At 40.0% G+C, this 17,572-nt stretch overlaps 1 long non-coding RNA gene across 8 annotated transcripts in view; it reads left to right on the top strand.

Moving 5' to 3' along the window:
* LOC105371004 (uncharacterized) overlaps positions 1 to 17,572 on the top strand; it is a 31,628-nt gene that overhangs the window by 10,559 nt on the left and 3,497 nt on the right. For 5 of the 8 annotated variants that reach the window (XR_001751692.2, XR_001751691.2, XR_932677.2 and 2 more), the window contains 3 exons: positions 7,894 to 8,148; positions 8,241 to 8,353; positions 8,866 to 9,034. This is a non-coding gene — a long non-coding RNA (uncharacterized LOC105371004). The remainder of the gene's footprint in view (positions 1 to 7,893; positions 8,149 to 8,240; positions 8,354 to 8,865; positions 9,035 to 17,572) is intronic. The other 3 variants (XR_932683.2, XR_932680.2, XR_932678.2) reach the window with 2 other exon arrangements.

The raw sequence follows: 17,572 nt of genomic DNA, 5'->3' as shown, positions 1-17,572 counted from the left end.
AGGTGCATGCTGCTAACCTGGGCAGAGGAGTCTAGATGAGGTGTCAGGGCAGAAAAGATGATGGTGGAGTTCCAGGTGTTGACAACCATGCAGTGAGCAGTAGACAGGACTTGGTATGTCAGAAGGTGGTGACCAACTCCACATCCAGCACAGAGCCTCCTACACCCTGCTGCCTACCTCATTGCACGTGGTGGGTTCCAGGAGGTCCATGCTCGTCCACACCTCTCACTGAGATCATTGCCTACTATGTAGTACAATTCTGAACAAGACTGGTTTGATTTTAAACCAATTGGCCTTGAAGTATGTGCTCAGTTCCTTTTTCAGTAGAGAATATGTTTTGGAGTACAAACTGAGTTAGTGGCTTTGGGATTATTTAGACAAAAAACTCATTTTCTGGATGGTTACAGTCGCAACTATGGAGGATTTTTGTTGTTAACTTTGCTTCGTTCATTTGTTTGTCTGAAATAAACCTTGTTTATTGCAACATCCATATTTCAATAAGTGGGCTTAGAAAGTTAAGAGCTGAAGGATTCCTATTTCAGCTGATTTAAAAATCACAGCTTTCTTACTTGTGAGAGATACAAAACAGCATTCCTCAAAGAACATCATCGTATGTACAGTTGCTTGTGATTATTGCTGAAAACATAAATTTGTATGTGAAAATATAACATGATTGTAATAACACATTGCACTTAAAGAGTCTATGACACTGAAACTAAATGCTAAACAAACAGCAAATAAAAATGAAAGAAGGGAAAGCTCTTTTCTATAGTAGAATACTAAGTATTAGGTTGATGCAAAAGTAATTGTGGTTTTTGCCATTAAAAGTAATTGGCAAAAACCGCAATAACTTTTGCACCAACCTAATAATATAGAAGGAATACTAGAATTAGAGCATAACCACTTTGCAAACACCACAGTCATAGTTAATGTAGGCAAGAGTCATCAATGGATACTAAAAATATTGGGTGAAAGTTTGTTAAAGAATAGCATACTGCCAGGCATGGTGGTTCATACCTGTAATTCCAACAGTTTGGGAGGCTGAAGTGGGAGGATCTCTTGAGTCTAGGAGTTTAGAGACCAGCCTGGGCAACACAGGGAGACCCTGTTCCTACAAAAACAAAAAGAGAGAGAGAGAGAGAGAATTTAAAAAAGAAAAAAATAGTATATTTATGTAGATCTGAATCGAATCATCAGGAAATAATCAAACAACCTCAAATTGGGGGACATTTTTATAAAGCACCTGGTCTATACTGTCAATGTCATGAGAGAAAGAATAAAACTAGAACAGTTTCTGTTTAAAGAAAGTATAATGATATATTAACAACTAAATGAAATGTGTAGTTCTATATTGGAGCCTGAGTTGAAAGGAAAAATAAAGATTGAGACATCTAGAGAAGATTGAATTTGACCTATGTGTTACAGACTATTATCATAGGTGTATGAAATTTGCTTAGTTTGATAACTGTATTGTAAATGCTGTGTTCTGCCATTAGAATATACTTATTCTTTTAAGAGATACATATGGAAATACTTAGGAGTCTGCAACTTACATGGTTTCACAAAACAATGACAGAGTCTGTACAATAAAGCATTTGTTTGGTCTTTGACCTCAGTTTCTGGGAGGTAGATTCTAAGCCCTTGGAATTTCCTGAGTGATAGTACTGTCTCTCTTTTGTATTCATGATGGGCCCCATGGACCACATTTAATAGTTGATGCTAATGAAATTATTTAAGATGATATGCGGCCATGCCAAAAGGAAAAAGTATGTGATCAGAGAGAGGGGACTTTGAGCCTCTTGATATTTGCCCAAACTTTGAGAAGGGAAGGTGGCTGGATAGTAAGTCATATGGCCAATAATTCAATCAATTGTGCCTACTCACTGAAGCCCCAGTAAAATCTATAGACACCAAAGCATGGGTGAGTTTCCCTAGTTGACAACAGTCTGTGTCCTTTCCCACATCGATGGTGTCGAGAAGATATGTCCTCAGAAACTATGGAACTGCAGCATTTTCCCAACATGTCTCTCCCTTTGGGTGGTTCTGATTTGTATCCTTTTAACCTAATAAAACTCTAGTCATAAGTATAGCACCCCCTGAGTTCGGTGAGTCACTGCAGCAGATTATTGAGCCTCAGCATCTAGTGGGAACCCCCAGATTTGAGGCCAGATGGTCAGAAATGCAGTTGGTCTGGGGACCCTGTCAACTTGCCACTGGTGCCAGGAGTGAGGGCTGTCTTGTGAATGACCGTCCCCTTGACCTCTAAAGTCTGGCCTCACTCTAGGTAATTGGTTAGAAGTCATTGCAGATGCACTGTACTATTGCTACAAATTTCTGTAAGCCTATTTCTTTTTTAAGAAAAAACGGTAAAAAGCTTATGACTCTTTTGTAACTTTAGGAAGTGAAACAACAATCTGAAGATGATGTCGGGTGGACTGCCCGGTATCTCGACGGGCACGTCATATCAAACACCGAGATTTGTCTGATTGGTGAACCATCAGATTGGTAGAATTATTTTTCTCCAGAAGTTAGTTTGTTTGAATTGAACCTGTTTTAAGCCAGCTTGATTTTATAAGCTTAAAAATGTCAAAAGCTCAACATTAAGTGCTAAATCTGTGCCATTAGTAGCACGACAATGAATAAATTTTATTTGATCAGTTTGGAAAAAAATTAAAAGGAGAATTTCTAAACCACTCTAAAACAGCAATCTTCTTAACACTGAAGGGCAGTCAATCAATAGAGAGAGGTAGCTATCCAAATGCATTTAAAAATAACAATAAAAATCCACAGCCAGGCATGCAGGCCTGGTGGCATATCCCTGTAGTCCCAGCTACTCTGGAGGCTGAAACAGGAGGATCCCTTGAGCCAAAGAATTGGAGTTCAGTCTGGGAAACATAGTGAGACCTTATTTCAAAAAAAAAAAAAAAAAAAAACTGTGCTAGCCACCTAGTGGGTGCTCAATAATTAGTAAAATTGATAAACAGCAGGCAAGAAACGTGAGGTACTTGAAGAAATGCTCGCGTCAATAATTCCTTTCTTTGCTATAGCACTGCTCATTTTTAAAACTAAAAGAAGTCTCTGCAGCATATTCTCAGCAAGCTGATATGAGATCCTGGGTAAACAGGTTTAATTACCATTGTGATCATAAAGCAAAAATATAAATGTAAACAGATTCTCATGGTCATGAACTGTAAAGTACTGATCAGTTTAGTTTCTTTTTCCACCACGTCACACATAAGTGCCCAAATTGAGGAGTCTGATCATTCTTTTAGTCTTCTAGATTGAGGGAGGGAGGGAAGCAGTGAGGGGGAGAGAGAGAGAGAGAGAAGAAACAAAGAAACAAAAAAGGAAGGAGAAGGAGGAGGGAGAAGAAGAGGGAGAAGAAGAAGGAGGAGGAGGAGGAAGGAGGAAGAGGAGGAGGAAGGAGGAGGAGGAAGAGGAAGGAGGAAGAGGAGGAGGAAGGAGGAGGAGGAGGAAGGAGGAGGAGGAGGAAGGAGGAGGAGGAAGGAGGAGGAAGGAGGAGGAGGAAAGAGGAGGAGGAGGAAGGAGGAGGAGGAGGAAAGAGGAGGAGGATGAAGGAGGAGGAGGAGGAAGGAGGAGGAGGAGGAAGGAGGAGGAGGAAGAGGAAAGAAGAAGAGGAAGAAAAACAAGAGGGAGGCAGGCAAGCAGGCTTTTGCTTATTCAGAATGTATTACATTAACAATTAAAAATGGTACTTCAGTTTTAATTTCTTTCCACCTGCTACTCAGTTGTAGTGCCACTGTTTATCAGCACCATGTTTTCTCCTGTATAATGAGGGTTGTCTTCCCCTATGCCTTCATTGTCTACATCTGTATCTCAGACAAATGGCTTTTAAATAAATTTCATAAAATCTTGTCCATGTTACTTGTAACTTCTATTGCAGTAATACAATGTGCTTGAAAATACATATTAATTTATTTGCAATCAACTTACATAAATGCAAGAGGGATAATTTACTCTGTCTTGCTCTCTTCCTCTCATCTCTATACATTATAAATGTTACATGTATTTTGCAACCTCACATTGCTATGGGGCTGTCATTCTGAGCTGTTCCAGGGAGTAAAACCAATTCTTTCCCCTCTCCCCTGAAGACAGTCAACTATCTGACAAGCTGGTTTCTTTCCTTGCCTATATATAACAGCTTAAAGCATCAGAATATTTCAGCTCCACTTTTTAATTATATAGCTTAGCAAGCCAACATAATCAGGAGCTGTACTTAAATATTCAACCTGAAATGGACTGAGTATTAAATTAAAGTAAGCTACTAACTAAAGTAACTTTACTTGATATATCTGCCATAAGAAGTGACAATTCATCTAATTAGTTTGCAACACACGAGTCGTTCTGAATTATTTCCCTCTGCTGTGGATTTTTTCATAGTAATGGTGCATGTAGCATCCACTGATACACATGGTTTCTATGAAAGGATAACTTCTACCAGCCAACATTTTAACAAGTATTTTTTTTCTGTTCCTAATGATATGCATAAAGTATTGTATTGAGTCTGTGGATGACCCAGTACATCAAAATGATATATTTGGGGACATGATGACATACCTCGAATACCTAACACCACGCAGCAGTTAGTCATCAGTGACCTCTGAGTTCCATAAGACAGGCTTCAAGAAAGGTGCAATTAAGGTTGTGCAGCCCCACCCTTTCCTATCATTCTTAAAAATATATCAGCATGCCAGTGAGAGAATAAGATGATTAAGGATAACCTTGAGTCCACCCCAATTATCATTTTAGAAAAGCAAATCATTGGCAAATTTTGGAAGTTCAGCTGTTTTTGGCAGCAAATGTTTATATGATCACACTGATTATAATCCAAGCAATTGTACTGCAGTGCTTTGTTGTGACTCATTGGATTGGACCAGTTTCCAAAGGTTTCCAAAGGGGCTGAGATTGATACCAGACCTTGAAGGGTGAGAGGATAGAGGAACAAAGAAAGACTGAGAGTTCTGTGTGTCTGGGGTTAGGACAAGCGAACAATATGGGGAGAGTCTCAAGGCTACAGCAGAGCATAGTGGAATTTAGGACTAAGTGCAGCACATATAGATTATAAGATGAAGTCCTAGGAGGAGTCTTTTTTTTTTTTTGAGATGGAGTCTCACTCTGTCACCCAGGCTGGAGTGCGGCATGATCTCGGCTCACTGCAGCCTCCTCCTACCTCCCGGGTTCAAGCAATTCTCCTGCCTCAGCCTCCTGAATAGCTGGGATTACAGGCACCCGCCACCATGCCCGGCTAATTTTTGTATTTTTAGTAGAGATGGGGTTCACCATGTTGGCCAGGCTGGTCTCGAACTCCTGACCTCAGGTGATCTGCGTGCCTCTGCCTCCCGAAGTGCTGGGATGACAGGCGTGAGCCACCTAAACGGATGTGTTTAAAGCAAACTGAATGCAGACTGAAGTACTTGGCTTTCCTTCTTTAGGCAAAGTAGTGGGTTTCCATCTAAACTTTTCTGTTGTTAATGCTGTCATGTAACGACATCTTTTAAAATGCATTTCAGTTGGCTTTATTTGGAAGAGCTGCAGAAAGTAGGAGGGAAAAGGAGGAAAGTCATGTATGGTAAGGATTCAGACTATATCAATGAGTTTGCTTAGCAGGCAACAACAACAACAAAAAAATAAAAATTGGAAAAATGAGATTGCTGAGCCTTGGTGTTATTTACTGCTTAATGGAATGTTGGCTGAAAACAGTAAAATAAATACTTCATTTTACCCAGCATCACTTAAAAAGTAAATAAGGCACAGAGCCCTTCTAAGACAATTGCTGTGGCAGTATGGGGTAGATATAATGGGCTTCAAGCAGCATAAAGTTTAAGCTAATATGCTTGGGCTTAGGAGTTTATATCTTCCTCTCCCCTGAAACAGTCCCCTATATGATTCCCATGGGTAAAATCATCTCGGTGGGTTTCGCAAACCAGTGTAAATAAGTGCAGGTTCGCCTTAAAGCTCCGGCTACATATTAAAGCCAAATCAACACCCTTTGCTAATAGAGATGTTCAAAAAAGATAAAACACCTCAAAGCCCGCGCGCTGAGTTGGTGCTGCTATTTCATGTCAAGGCAATTACAGTGATGGTATTAGGAAGATCAGGTCGGGAGCGGTGTTGTCATACCGGGGAAAGGAAAGCACGCCTTTAAGCAATCATGTAGAGCATGCAGGACATCTTAAAGCTGGGGAAGGAACAAAGCTTCGCGCTGTCGGAATATTGATCTGCTCCAGAAGGTGCAGGGAGCTGCACTACGGTGATTGCCTTCCCCGCTGGGTTTAGAGAGGTCTGAAAGAATACAGTATTGATCTGGCCCCGTTCCCAAGAAGTAACTTAAAGATAAGCCCTAACTGGAGGCCACCAACCTTGAGAACAAACTGTTGCAAAGAAGCCCCGTTTGCCACACAGTCAACATCAGAGCTAATGCTGTGTGGGTGATGATTAGAATATACTTAAGCCGGGCCCAGGACAAGCTGACCGTGTGCTTTCTTCCCCACCTAAATCACACGTGTCTCCCAATTCTGAAACAGGTAAAACAATGGCCTGGGTGGAAAGGAGGGCAAGGCACAGTGGGAGTTCCATGTGTGAAGCTGTTTTATGTCAAGGAAGAAAGATGGGAGTTTCTGAAGTTTTGTTTGTTTGAAACCACTCACAGCCTGATTTACTTCATGTTTTCAATGGGAATAATACTGCCAATTTCACAGATCATGGTCTGGATTCAAGGCGATAAATAAACCTACTCAGAAAATGGCATCTCTGGCCAGGCGCAGTGGCTTACACTTGGTAATCCCGGCACTTTGGGAGGCCAAGGCGGATGGATCACTTGAGGTCAGGAGTTCGAGACCAGTCTGGGCAACATGGCAAAACCACGTCTCTACTAAAATACAAAGCAAAAAAAACAACAACATACACACACACACACACACACACACACACACACACACACACACACAACACCTGGCACGTCTTAACAATCAGGGTATTGTTTGGAAGGCAATGAGGAATCCTTTATCATCTACTGTCTGCTTCGTCTCAGAAAGACTCTCTTCCAGCTACTAAAATTCTATTAATAAAAGAGAACATTTTTCAGAGAAAGGAAAACTTTCAACATTTCTGCTTCCAGAGCTGTGTGTAGAACTCATTTGCCAGTGAGTCTGTGTTTGTTACCAAACCTCAAGTTCAAACTTGGAAATAAAAATACACTGTCCTGAAAATTCTTCACTGACATGCCACTCAGCTGCTCATGGTTTCCTGGTGGAAATTACTGTAACCACAGGATTTCACATGGTTTCAACCTCTAGCCACAAGTTAAAATTAGCCAGATGTTACTGAGAAGTTAGGGAACTAGGCTGTTTATATTTGGATCTGGTTATACTGAGTGTGTAAGCAGATCCAAATACGAAAATTCATTTGCAATGAGATTTTAGGGTACAGCAACTTGATTTTCATCACGTTAAGAATATTCCATTTGCTAAGAAAGATGGCTCCAAGATCATTACTCCTTTGGGAAACAAAGCCCAATAATTCTGCCATGGTCCTGTAAATCCTCACCCTGTGAAGGACAACACTTTCACTCTGATATACGTTGTGTGTAAAATGGGGTACATCCCTACAACCCTGGTACCAGGGATTTTACAAGTCACATACACAAAAAAGACCTGGTGTCCTGGGTGTTTTGTCTTTCTAAAGCATCAGTTCATCGTAGCTATGAGGTAACAGTTTCATCAATTTCTGAATTGAGTGTATTGTGTAAGCAACTACTTCTGCTAGACTGTTTAGACAAAACTGGATTTTGTAATTTTGTTACATTTGGATCAGTTCAAAAATTAAAGGTAGACACGTTACTAGTTCCACCTGTCTGATTACTTTCTCCAACAGTGAAGGGAACGAGAGCAAAGCCACCTGCATATCTTCGGCAGTTAAAGATCAGAATCATAACAACAATAACATCTCACAATTTTCCAAGTGCTCCTTCGGCTCTGTCTTTTTCCTCCCACCTGAGGCCCCCAGGGTGGGTGTAGACATTCATCTCTGCTTCATTTGATCCACCTCTGCTTGGCCACTGCTGGACTTTTTCTCAGGCAAAGGAGAACCCCCAGGAGAGTGGATAAACTGGACCAAGGAGCTGCAGAGGTAGTTTGATTTCACCACAATCATTTCATCTGTCTTAGCAAAACCCCCTTGGGCTTGCCCTGTAGTACACAAACTTGGCTTTGTTCACGCAGCTCAAATAGAACACTTCTCCTTCAAAATTTAACTCAGCTCTCGGAAACACTGAAAGGAAATGTGGCCTATAATTATCCAACGTGAGATGCAAGGATTGAATGCTTTGTCCAAGGTAAATACTTAATCTTTTAAAGTTTCTAGGAGGTATCTTTGAAGCTGCGATAGAATTTGTAAAGCCAAATAAAAATATATACTAAATATGCATCTGCCATGAGGAAAAGGAAGTTTATTAAAAGCATTAGCACTTAGCTCTATTGGAAGCACACCATTAGTCCTACACCTCTTGTATACTACCATGGAAAAGGCATTAAGACAATCGATTTTCTGAAATTTATCCATATTGAAAAGTCGTTTTCATTGTCTTCTTTTCAGGAGGACACGATTTTCAAAACTCACATGTTTCATGACCAAGTTTCACAATCTACAAAGGTAGAAATGCACAACTTACAAACTCCCTACACATAAAAAAAGTGCCAAACATGTTGTAAATAGAAGCCCCCTCGTGCAGCAAACACGCTGCCTCCCTGACATCCCATGTATGTGAGCACAATAATTACCCATGTGATAAGAGCATCAAGGTCCTTTGTTATATCTTTCAGCCCTCCTTTTTTCTTCCTTCCCTAGCTTTGCTGTTCTAAGAGAAGTCAAGGTGAAGGGTTTAGTGCCTCTGAAGCTGGGGCAAGAAAACAATCGGCTTCTCCAACGGTCAGTAAAGAATACAAGGGCACAGTTAAAACAGAGCCACTGAAGTGAACAACCTTCATGTGACCAACAGGAGAAACACCCCCTCCAGGTACTCCCCACAGGGTTCCCTTTCGGTTGCAAGGCCAGGAAGGTCAGCCCATCTCTATGGCACTCCCTTTCAAGTGTGCGGGCGGCATGCCAGCAAGCAGGTTCCGCATGACTGCTGGTGCACAGGGAAACTCCTCAGAGAGAGACCCCTGACCCACCAGAGGGGCGAAAACCAAAGCAGGGATCAGGCACTTTATTTCAAGAGTATGTGTATGCGTATGTGTATGTGTGCGTGTGTGTGTGTGTGTGTGTGTGTGTGTGTGTATGCTACAAAGGCAAAGGAGGCCATTCAAATCTAGGAACGCTACACACATACACACATTAGGCAGAAGAAAAATAGGAAACAGAAATAGGAGAAATCACATCTTCACTAGTAAATAACTTATAAGACACTGAGAATATCAGTGACACTGTAGAGTTGGAAATTTCTATTTTAATTGTATCCATTGTTTTGAAGGAATAGAGTGAAAATAGCGGGATTTACACTTTTGTATATAATATACAATTTTCCAGATAAGCTCTTCTCTCTAGGCTGATGTCCTTCCACCAGTATTGATACATGAAAAGATGAATACAAAAAAATGCTCAAAAATGGCCAGGCGCAGTGGCTCACGCCTGTGATCCCAGCACTTTGCAAGACTGAGGTGGGTGGATCACCTGAGGTCAGGAGTTCGAGACCAGACTGACCAACATGGTGAAACCCCATCTCTACTAAAAATAAAAAATTAGCCAGGCGTGGTGGCACATGCCTGTAATCCCAGTTACTTGGAAGGCTGAGGCAGGAGAATTGCTTGAACCCAGGAGGCAGAGGTTGCAGTGAGCTGAGATCGTGCCATTGCAATCCAGCCTGGGCAACAAGAGCAACACTCCATCTCAAAAAAAAAAGAAAAAAAAGGCTAGAAAATGCCATTCTTGCTATCGGGATCAGGCAGAGGATTCTGTCTGGTATATATGCACAGGGCTATGGTCTTTTGCTGTATTTTGCCTCCTTGGCTGCTTACAGCTTACTTGACAAGCCGAGTCAGCAAAATCATCACAATGAGTGGGTGTCCCCAGCAAGTTTGTGAAACTAGAGCCCCTCGGACCTAAACATTTCCTGTTTGCAAAAGAGCAGCAATTATGTTCCCTCACAAGCAGTCTTGCTCATAAGCCAATGATTGATAAACATCTGACACTATCAAGCAGCTCTTGGAATGCTTGGAAGATGTTTCAGATGCTAGGTGTGTTGCTGAGCACTGTGGTTACATTCCATTTCTGCATCTACTGAGAGGCTCTGGGTTGGAAGAAATTAGAGACTTGCTGTGATGAAAGTGTGGGGGGTGATTGAGCTTAGACTGGAGAATCGTTGCGATGGGAATACCGTAAAGCAGGTTCAAGCATCATGCCTTCATTCAGCAAATATTTACTGAGCTGTGACTTTATTTCAGTCCCTGGATATACTTAAACATGATGGACACAGCTGAGCCCTCATGGAGCTCACATCCTAGGAAGGATGGTGACATGAGAAAGGTCATTCTCCCTGTGTTGAGCCACATGAAGGAAAAAATGATGGACACCAATGGAGCATACCAGAAAAGCAAACCTAGGCTGAGGAATAGGGAATGCTTTCTGGAGAACAGGATGTTTACATGGTAAAGGAAGAAAATTAATGTGCATTTGACTTTTAACCCTCATTTGACTGCTTCTCAATTATGACTATCAGATATATCTATATAATAATTTCCACACTCATTTTCTCCTTTCCAACCCTGCACTGACTTCTTTTGTTAGCTATCGCAACACACTAGTTAGATTTGAAATCTCTCTTTCAATTAAATTTGGAAATCCCAGCAGGGAAACATTCTCAGTCGTCTGTCTGATTAAGAATAGAAAAAGAATTGTATTTTGACATCTATAATCAAACCTCACAAAATAGCCCCAATTGATGTAAAAATTCACACTTCAACCATATATTATATTTTTATTTTCAATAGCACTAACTCTGTAACACTTTACACCTTATCATTTTTTAATTTATTGTCCTTACAAAATTCTGTAGGATTATGAAATTGACAAGATGAGTTTTAAGTAGAAATGAGCTTCCTTTTTTCACAAAATTTGGGACATTAAATTCTCGCTTTATTGAACTAACAAAAAAAGATATCCAATTTTGTGTAGATATGGCTTAAGGTGGTTGCAGGTATAGTCTTTTTGGAAGAGGGAAATAAGACTTTTAAAATGTGGAATTTGAAGATAAACTATGAAACGTTGACTTGCCAACTTGCAGCATATCAAAATGTCAGCTCAGCACCTTAAAGAGTCTAAAGGGATTATTCAGCCCAATTTTCTCTGTGCTTAATGCCATATCCTGGCTTAGAGTCAGGTTCCTTTGGAAGAATATTTAACTCTTTCTGCACATCATTATTCCATTTTAAGCAATAAAGTTGTGATTTCCTAAATGACATTCTAATAATCTGAAATATTTCCCCCAGCTTTGAAAGGATCCGTGCTTTGAGGATATAGCTGACATACTGCGATAACCTCAATCATTCTGTAGCAAGAATAGTATACCAAAATTACACTTACATGTCCATCAGTAAGTCCTAGCACAAATGATAATAAGAATATTCTTAGCATTATCCCAGGAAGAGACAGTGACTTGAGTCTTACGACAACTGTCTTTAAGCCTGTGGGCAGTGCTCAATGGCTTTAATGAAACAACATACATCTTTAACCATGGCATTCAACCTCTGAAGGAGCAGGTACGTTACATAACATTTGGAAGCAGTCTCAGAGGTGGTCCAGTCTACTTTCCGTATGATTAATGAATCCCCTATATTGTTCTCCTGATAGAGAGGCTCAAGGACTCTGGGACCTTTGCTATCAAAGAACTCCCCACCCCAAGAAGCAGCCCATGACCTTGCCTAATAGCTCTAATATGAAATTCTTCCTTGTAGCCTGCCCTAATTACCCTTCCAAAACTTTAGCTACCTGAGCAATTTCTATACTAACGGGTTGCATAGAGTAGATCCAATTATTTTCTCACAGGACAGCCCTACTACTATTATGATTAAATCATTCCTTTATTAATTCAGCCATCTATTGGGCATCCACTATGAGTTAGACACCCATCTAGTCACTGGGGATATAACAGCAAACAAAGTTATGTCCCTCCTAGAACTCACATTCTGGAGACAGTACAGAGGAAGAAAATAAGCCAGCAATTATAAGTAAACACGTAATATGTTGGTGGAGAAAACTCAGGAACGGGGGATTGCTACAGTATGTGGGATGAGGAGGGGAGCTGTGAGGTTATCTCGAGTGGTCGTGGAAGCGCTGCCTGCAATGGATAGGTATGCAGAGACCTCAAGAATTGAGATGAAGTGGGGAGACAGAAGTGTGAGTGCAAGGCTCCTGATTCCTCCCAGTCTGGAGTGGCAAGCAGATTTAGCCCCTTCCGTTGATTCTGTTTGGTTGGTAGTGCTGTCCAGATCTCCACATTGAAGGCTGAGATATCAGTCCTGCCCTGGCTGGTGTAAAAGAGTGTTTGATTTGATTAGAAATATCTGCTATGGATGCCCAACAGAGAGTGGCAGTTGCTATTCCGCATAAGCATATGGTAGGTCTGCACTGTATTTCATGCAACTCACACACAGTCTTCTCTTCTCCCACTAGCAGTAACTTCATTCTTTTAAGCAAATCTCTTATTTTAAGGTATTTTTTCCAGTCTTTACCGTATTTGCCTTTCTCAGGGGTAAAGTCTAGTTGGGTAATAATTTCACTTAAAGGGTGAAAGTCAAGACTGTGCATAATAATTTAGGTATCTTCTAAGCATAGAGAAAACCTAAAATCCCAGTAGCTTGTTCTGGAGTCCATAATGAGACCTTTTCAGACTAGGGCTATATTAATTTGGGTTGAGAAGGACTCCTCATTGCTTCCGTGTGTTTAGTGCTAAGTGGCTACTGATATGACAGGCTCATGACAGGTACTTTTCTCTCTCCTTCCCCTCCTTGGCTCAAAACTTAACATGAAATTTAAAGAAAGCTGTGTATGTGTGAGGAGTACCATTTGTCAAAGCAGACCCCAATCACTTCAGTCTGCAAGTTCTAGCACACAGCGTAAAACCGCAGCTCAACATTGCCCCATTCTTAACAAAAGGTTAATGCTTTAAGCTTTAAAAAAAATTTGGATCTGTTGTTCGGTAATTGGAATAAACATTCAAATTTGAGTATCAAATTTCTCATTAGTTTCACATCAATACCTGTGCTGCAACTATGGATCAGTGAACTGGGCTCCTCGCTGCCCAAGTGAATTCATTAATCATTCTCCCCTAAGATGGCTGTGTAAGTAGACAGCTGTTCTAAGCAGCTGTCTTCGGGCACAGCTCCTCTCATACAGACAGTGGGAAACTTTATGCACGAGTCTGCTGTCGTTTTAGATGGAAGTCCTACTTGTATTTACAGGTCCAGAAGCAACTGGATCTCAGGTCAGTAACGCATTTCAATTTGTAAATGGTCACTTTATGGTCACAGAGGGAAAGGTTTAAAACCATTCAGGCTAAGTTTCCATGTCTTATCTGACTTATCACCAGGAAAAAGAAATACGAAGCTATGTATTTCAAGCTCACACCGCATTTGGTGAAAAGCCACAAACCTAAACTGAACTCTTGTAACCCTTTTTTCCTGCCCCAAATGATATGCCCTGGCTTATTAGTGCTCCTGATCTTCCAACTATAGATATTTAACTTTATTTTTATATTTTTGGATACACTTGGCTGCTTAGAGAGATCAGAATCCACATGCAGCTCCGATTCTCCATTATATTGAAGCAAGTACTCCAGTAATTGGAGCTTATCCTGTTTTAATATATGCAATCAGGAAATTTGAAACGGCCTTGATGGCCCCTATAATATTTCCTTTAGATGCTCTCTGATATGTCAGTGTCTACAAGTTCATCCACACAGCAATGACCTCATGTGGCAACCTTTTTCCATCTACTAGAACACTTAGTAGTAACATGAGAACCTGATTATCTTCTCTTAGAAAAAAAAAAAGAGGAAAGACAAAGAAAAACAACACACATACACACAAACTTAAGAGGTATTTCTCTCTTGGAAGCAAAACCACCAAGACAAGTAGACACACATTGGAGAAAATAAAAATCACAGAATCCAAACAATTGTTTCCTGGGCAGAAGGTGGGTGGAGGGTTGTTGGGAATCAAAGGAGAGCCAGGCATATCTATTTCCTGGGGATGTATTTAGCCTTTCACATTAAGGAAAAGTGAACATGCCAAAAGTTCAACTCAAGAAGATTTTTATTTCTCTCATTAAATGCAATCGAAAGTAAACACTGGGAGCTGGTAGGGAAAAGAATGAATGTATTGCCTGGACATTTCTTAGATAAATCATTTAAAATTGGACTTTCCTAGTGTGTGCTATGAAAAGTTCTGAAGTAGGTAATGCCATCCCCAAGTGAGAGATGAGGCAACAAAAGGTGATTCATTCGCTCACTCATTTAGTATTCCTGTAACAAACAGGTACTGAGAGCCTACTGGGTACCAGGTAGTATTCTGGGCATTGGGACTTGAGGTACACAAGGCAGAAAAGGGTCTTGCTTTCATAATGTTTAGATTTCAGTGGGGAAAAGGCAAAAAATAAACAAATTAAAATAGTAGCTAGTGGCCAGGCTCAGTGGCTCACACCTGTAATCCCAGCACTTTGGGAGGCCAAGGCAGGCAGATCACCAAAGGTAAGGAGTTGGAGACCAGCCTGACCAACATGGCAAAACCCCATCCCTACTAAAAATACAAAAAGTATCTGGGCGTGGTGGCGTGTGCCTGTAATCCCAGCTACTCCGGAGACTGAGGCAAGAGAATTGCTTGAACCCGGAAGGCGGAGGTTGCAGTGAGCCGAGATGGTGCCACTGCCCTCCATCCTGAACAACAGAGTGAGCACCCTGGCACCAAAAAAAAAAAAAAAAAAAAAAAGCAGCTAGTAATAACTGTCAAAGATAAAAATAAAATAGAATGATATCATGAAGAGAGATTAGAAGTTTTTTAAGGTTGGGTGATATTGGAGGTTTCAAGGAGGTTGGAGAATTTAAATTGAGACCTGTAAAACAAGAAGAACCAGGGCTGGAGGAGTTGGCAGAAGTCACTCTCCTAACCCTATAGCTGCTACAAAATGGGATTACTTAAGCCCACATCTGTATGACTGCAAAGCCTCAGTCTTTCTCCCAATCTCCACTTTACTGGAGCATCATGAAATGTACAGCCAGTTTTGTCAACTATTAAATCGAGAGGATAACTGGCAATTATGTGTAAAATGGGAGTTGTGTAAATAGCATAATAGGATAAAGTATAAATTGTCTGCTTCTGCTTGGGCCTGTCCAAACTGGTTATCAACTCAGCCTCATTTCTGTAGATAGTTGTCCACATTAAACTTCTTTTGGACATAGCTTTATCTTGAGAGCATTATTTCTAGATGTGTCCTCATCCTTAAAATTAATGTATTTTGCCATTATAGAAGTGTTGTGTGTTTGTCTTCATTGATTTTGGATTCTTACTCTCTTCAGATCCGATTTACTCTAGTGTAGCTTAAAAGTGCATGGACTGTAGCATGGAGTATGCTGTGACTGGAGTTTGATTGCATTCCAGTCAATGTTGGGATGCAGTGAGAAATAGAATGTAAAAAGACTTATAAAACATTTAAAAATAGTACATGAAAAGACAGACCCAGAAAGCTTTGCAGAGTTGAGCCATCTATGCTCAGTGGAGAATATTAATGGAAATTGTTTAATGAGTGTCTTTCATAGTAATTATGTATTAAAACGCTAAACACTTGAATGGAAACTTTGGTCTCTGAGATTCTTGGAACGTTTTCTAGATTCCACTCCAGGGATGATTTCACCCCCTACTGCATCGCTCCCCTTCTGAGGCTGATTGTTTCATCTCCCTCAATGTACTCGGCAGTGGTTTGTTCTTTTATAAATCTGTTGACTAAAAAAGAACCCAAAAGTCAAACCAAAGTTGATAACCTTTAACTTTTGAGATTTTTCAAAGCCGGTTGAAGTAAAATCTGCTATTTATACTTTTCTTTTCTTTTACTTTTATGTCCTTATCAACTTGTTTATATAATTGGTACTTGGATCTCATCAGACAAAACTATCAGTGTTTTATGGTGTATATGGAGGAAATTACTAGGTAATAAATATTATATAAAGAGTATTGATAAAACTCAGATTTTGAAATATGTTTTATAATATTACATCCATAAATATGAGTTACATTATATCCCTGGAATGTTCCTCCTTATTCCTGTTTTTGCTGAAATTATAAATATGGATTCAATTTCTCCTTTAAATTTCAGTTATATTTCATTCCTTGGGCTTCTAACCTCAAGGGTCAAACTATAAAAAATTGTATATATTTTATTCTGTTGAAAGCTAACAACAATCCAGAATGATTTGTATAAATGAACCTGGTGAGAAAATAAGAACACATGCATAAATTATTTTGTATGCAATTTTTATAACTATAAATTTTGTAAAATATGTTATTTATAACATTGTCATTTCCGACAGTGGTATCATGGGTGTGAGAACATTCAACTACAAAAAATAGTCACAGAAGCATGAAAATTAGAGCTTAAAGAAATGTAAGAACACATCTGGTTTAATCCCCTCTCTTTAAAGATGGAGAAATGAAGATACAGAAAGGCAATGGGCCTTGTTTCTGGTGGCTCAGCCATTTAAGGGTAAAGCCCTGGCATACTGATGGTGTGTGGAAGCAACAGAAGAACTTTCTTCAGGCTACTGGTGTAAAGTTTCTATGGCCTAACTATGCAATCTTATGTGATACTCAGTGAAATGTCTTTGAAATTTTTATGTAAAGAATATTTTATGAGTACAAACTTCCACTAACTAGAAAACTCTATATTATGGATTGAATGTTTGTGTCCCCGCAAGACTTATATATTGAAACCCTAACCCCCAATGTATCAATATTTGGAGATTGGGCCTCTAAGGAAGTAAGGTTAAATGAGGTCATAAGAGTGGGGCCCTGATCCAATAGAATTAGTGCCCTTATTAGAAGACACACCGGAGAGTTCCAGAGAGCACACTCCCTTTCTCTCTTTCTCCCTCTCCCCCAATCCAGCATGCATAAAAACATCATCTTAGCATACAGAAAGATGGCGGCCACCTACAAGTCCAGAGAAGAGACATCAGAATGAAACCTACCTTGCCAGCTCAGATTTTGCAATATGTTTTGTAATATTACATCCATAAATATGAGTTACATTATATCCATGGAATGTTATGTCATGGGCTTTCCATCCTCCAGAACCATGAGAAATACATTTGTTATTAAACCACCCAATTTGTAGTATTTCGTTATGGCAGACTGAGCAGTCTAATGCACTATAATAATTCATGTGAGATTTACCTAAATTTCCCGCTTTTTAATTTTATACAAAGAACTGTTTTTTTGGGTTTTTTTTAGCAAACACATAGTATTAAGTAAAAGAAAAAGAAACTTTTTAGGACAATGATTTCCTAATA

The sequence above is a fragment of the Homo sapiens genome, chromosome 15 (genome assembly GCF_000001405.40).
Source record: "Homo sapiens chromosome 15, GRCh38.p14 Primary Assembly".
NCBI lineage: Eukaryota > Metazoa > Chordata > Mammalia > Primates > Hominidae > Homo > Homo sapiens.
Note: the sequence above shows the minus strand (reverse complement) of the source record. Positions and strands in the feature narration are given on the sequence as shown.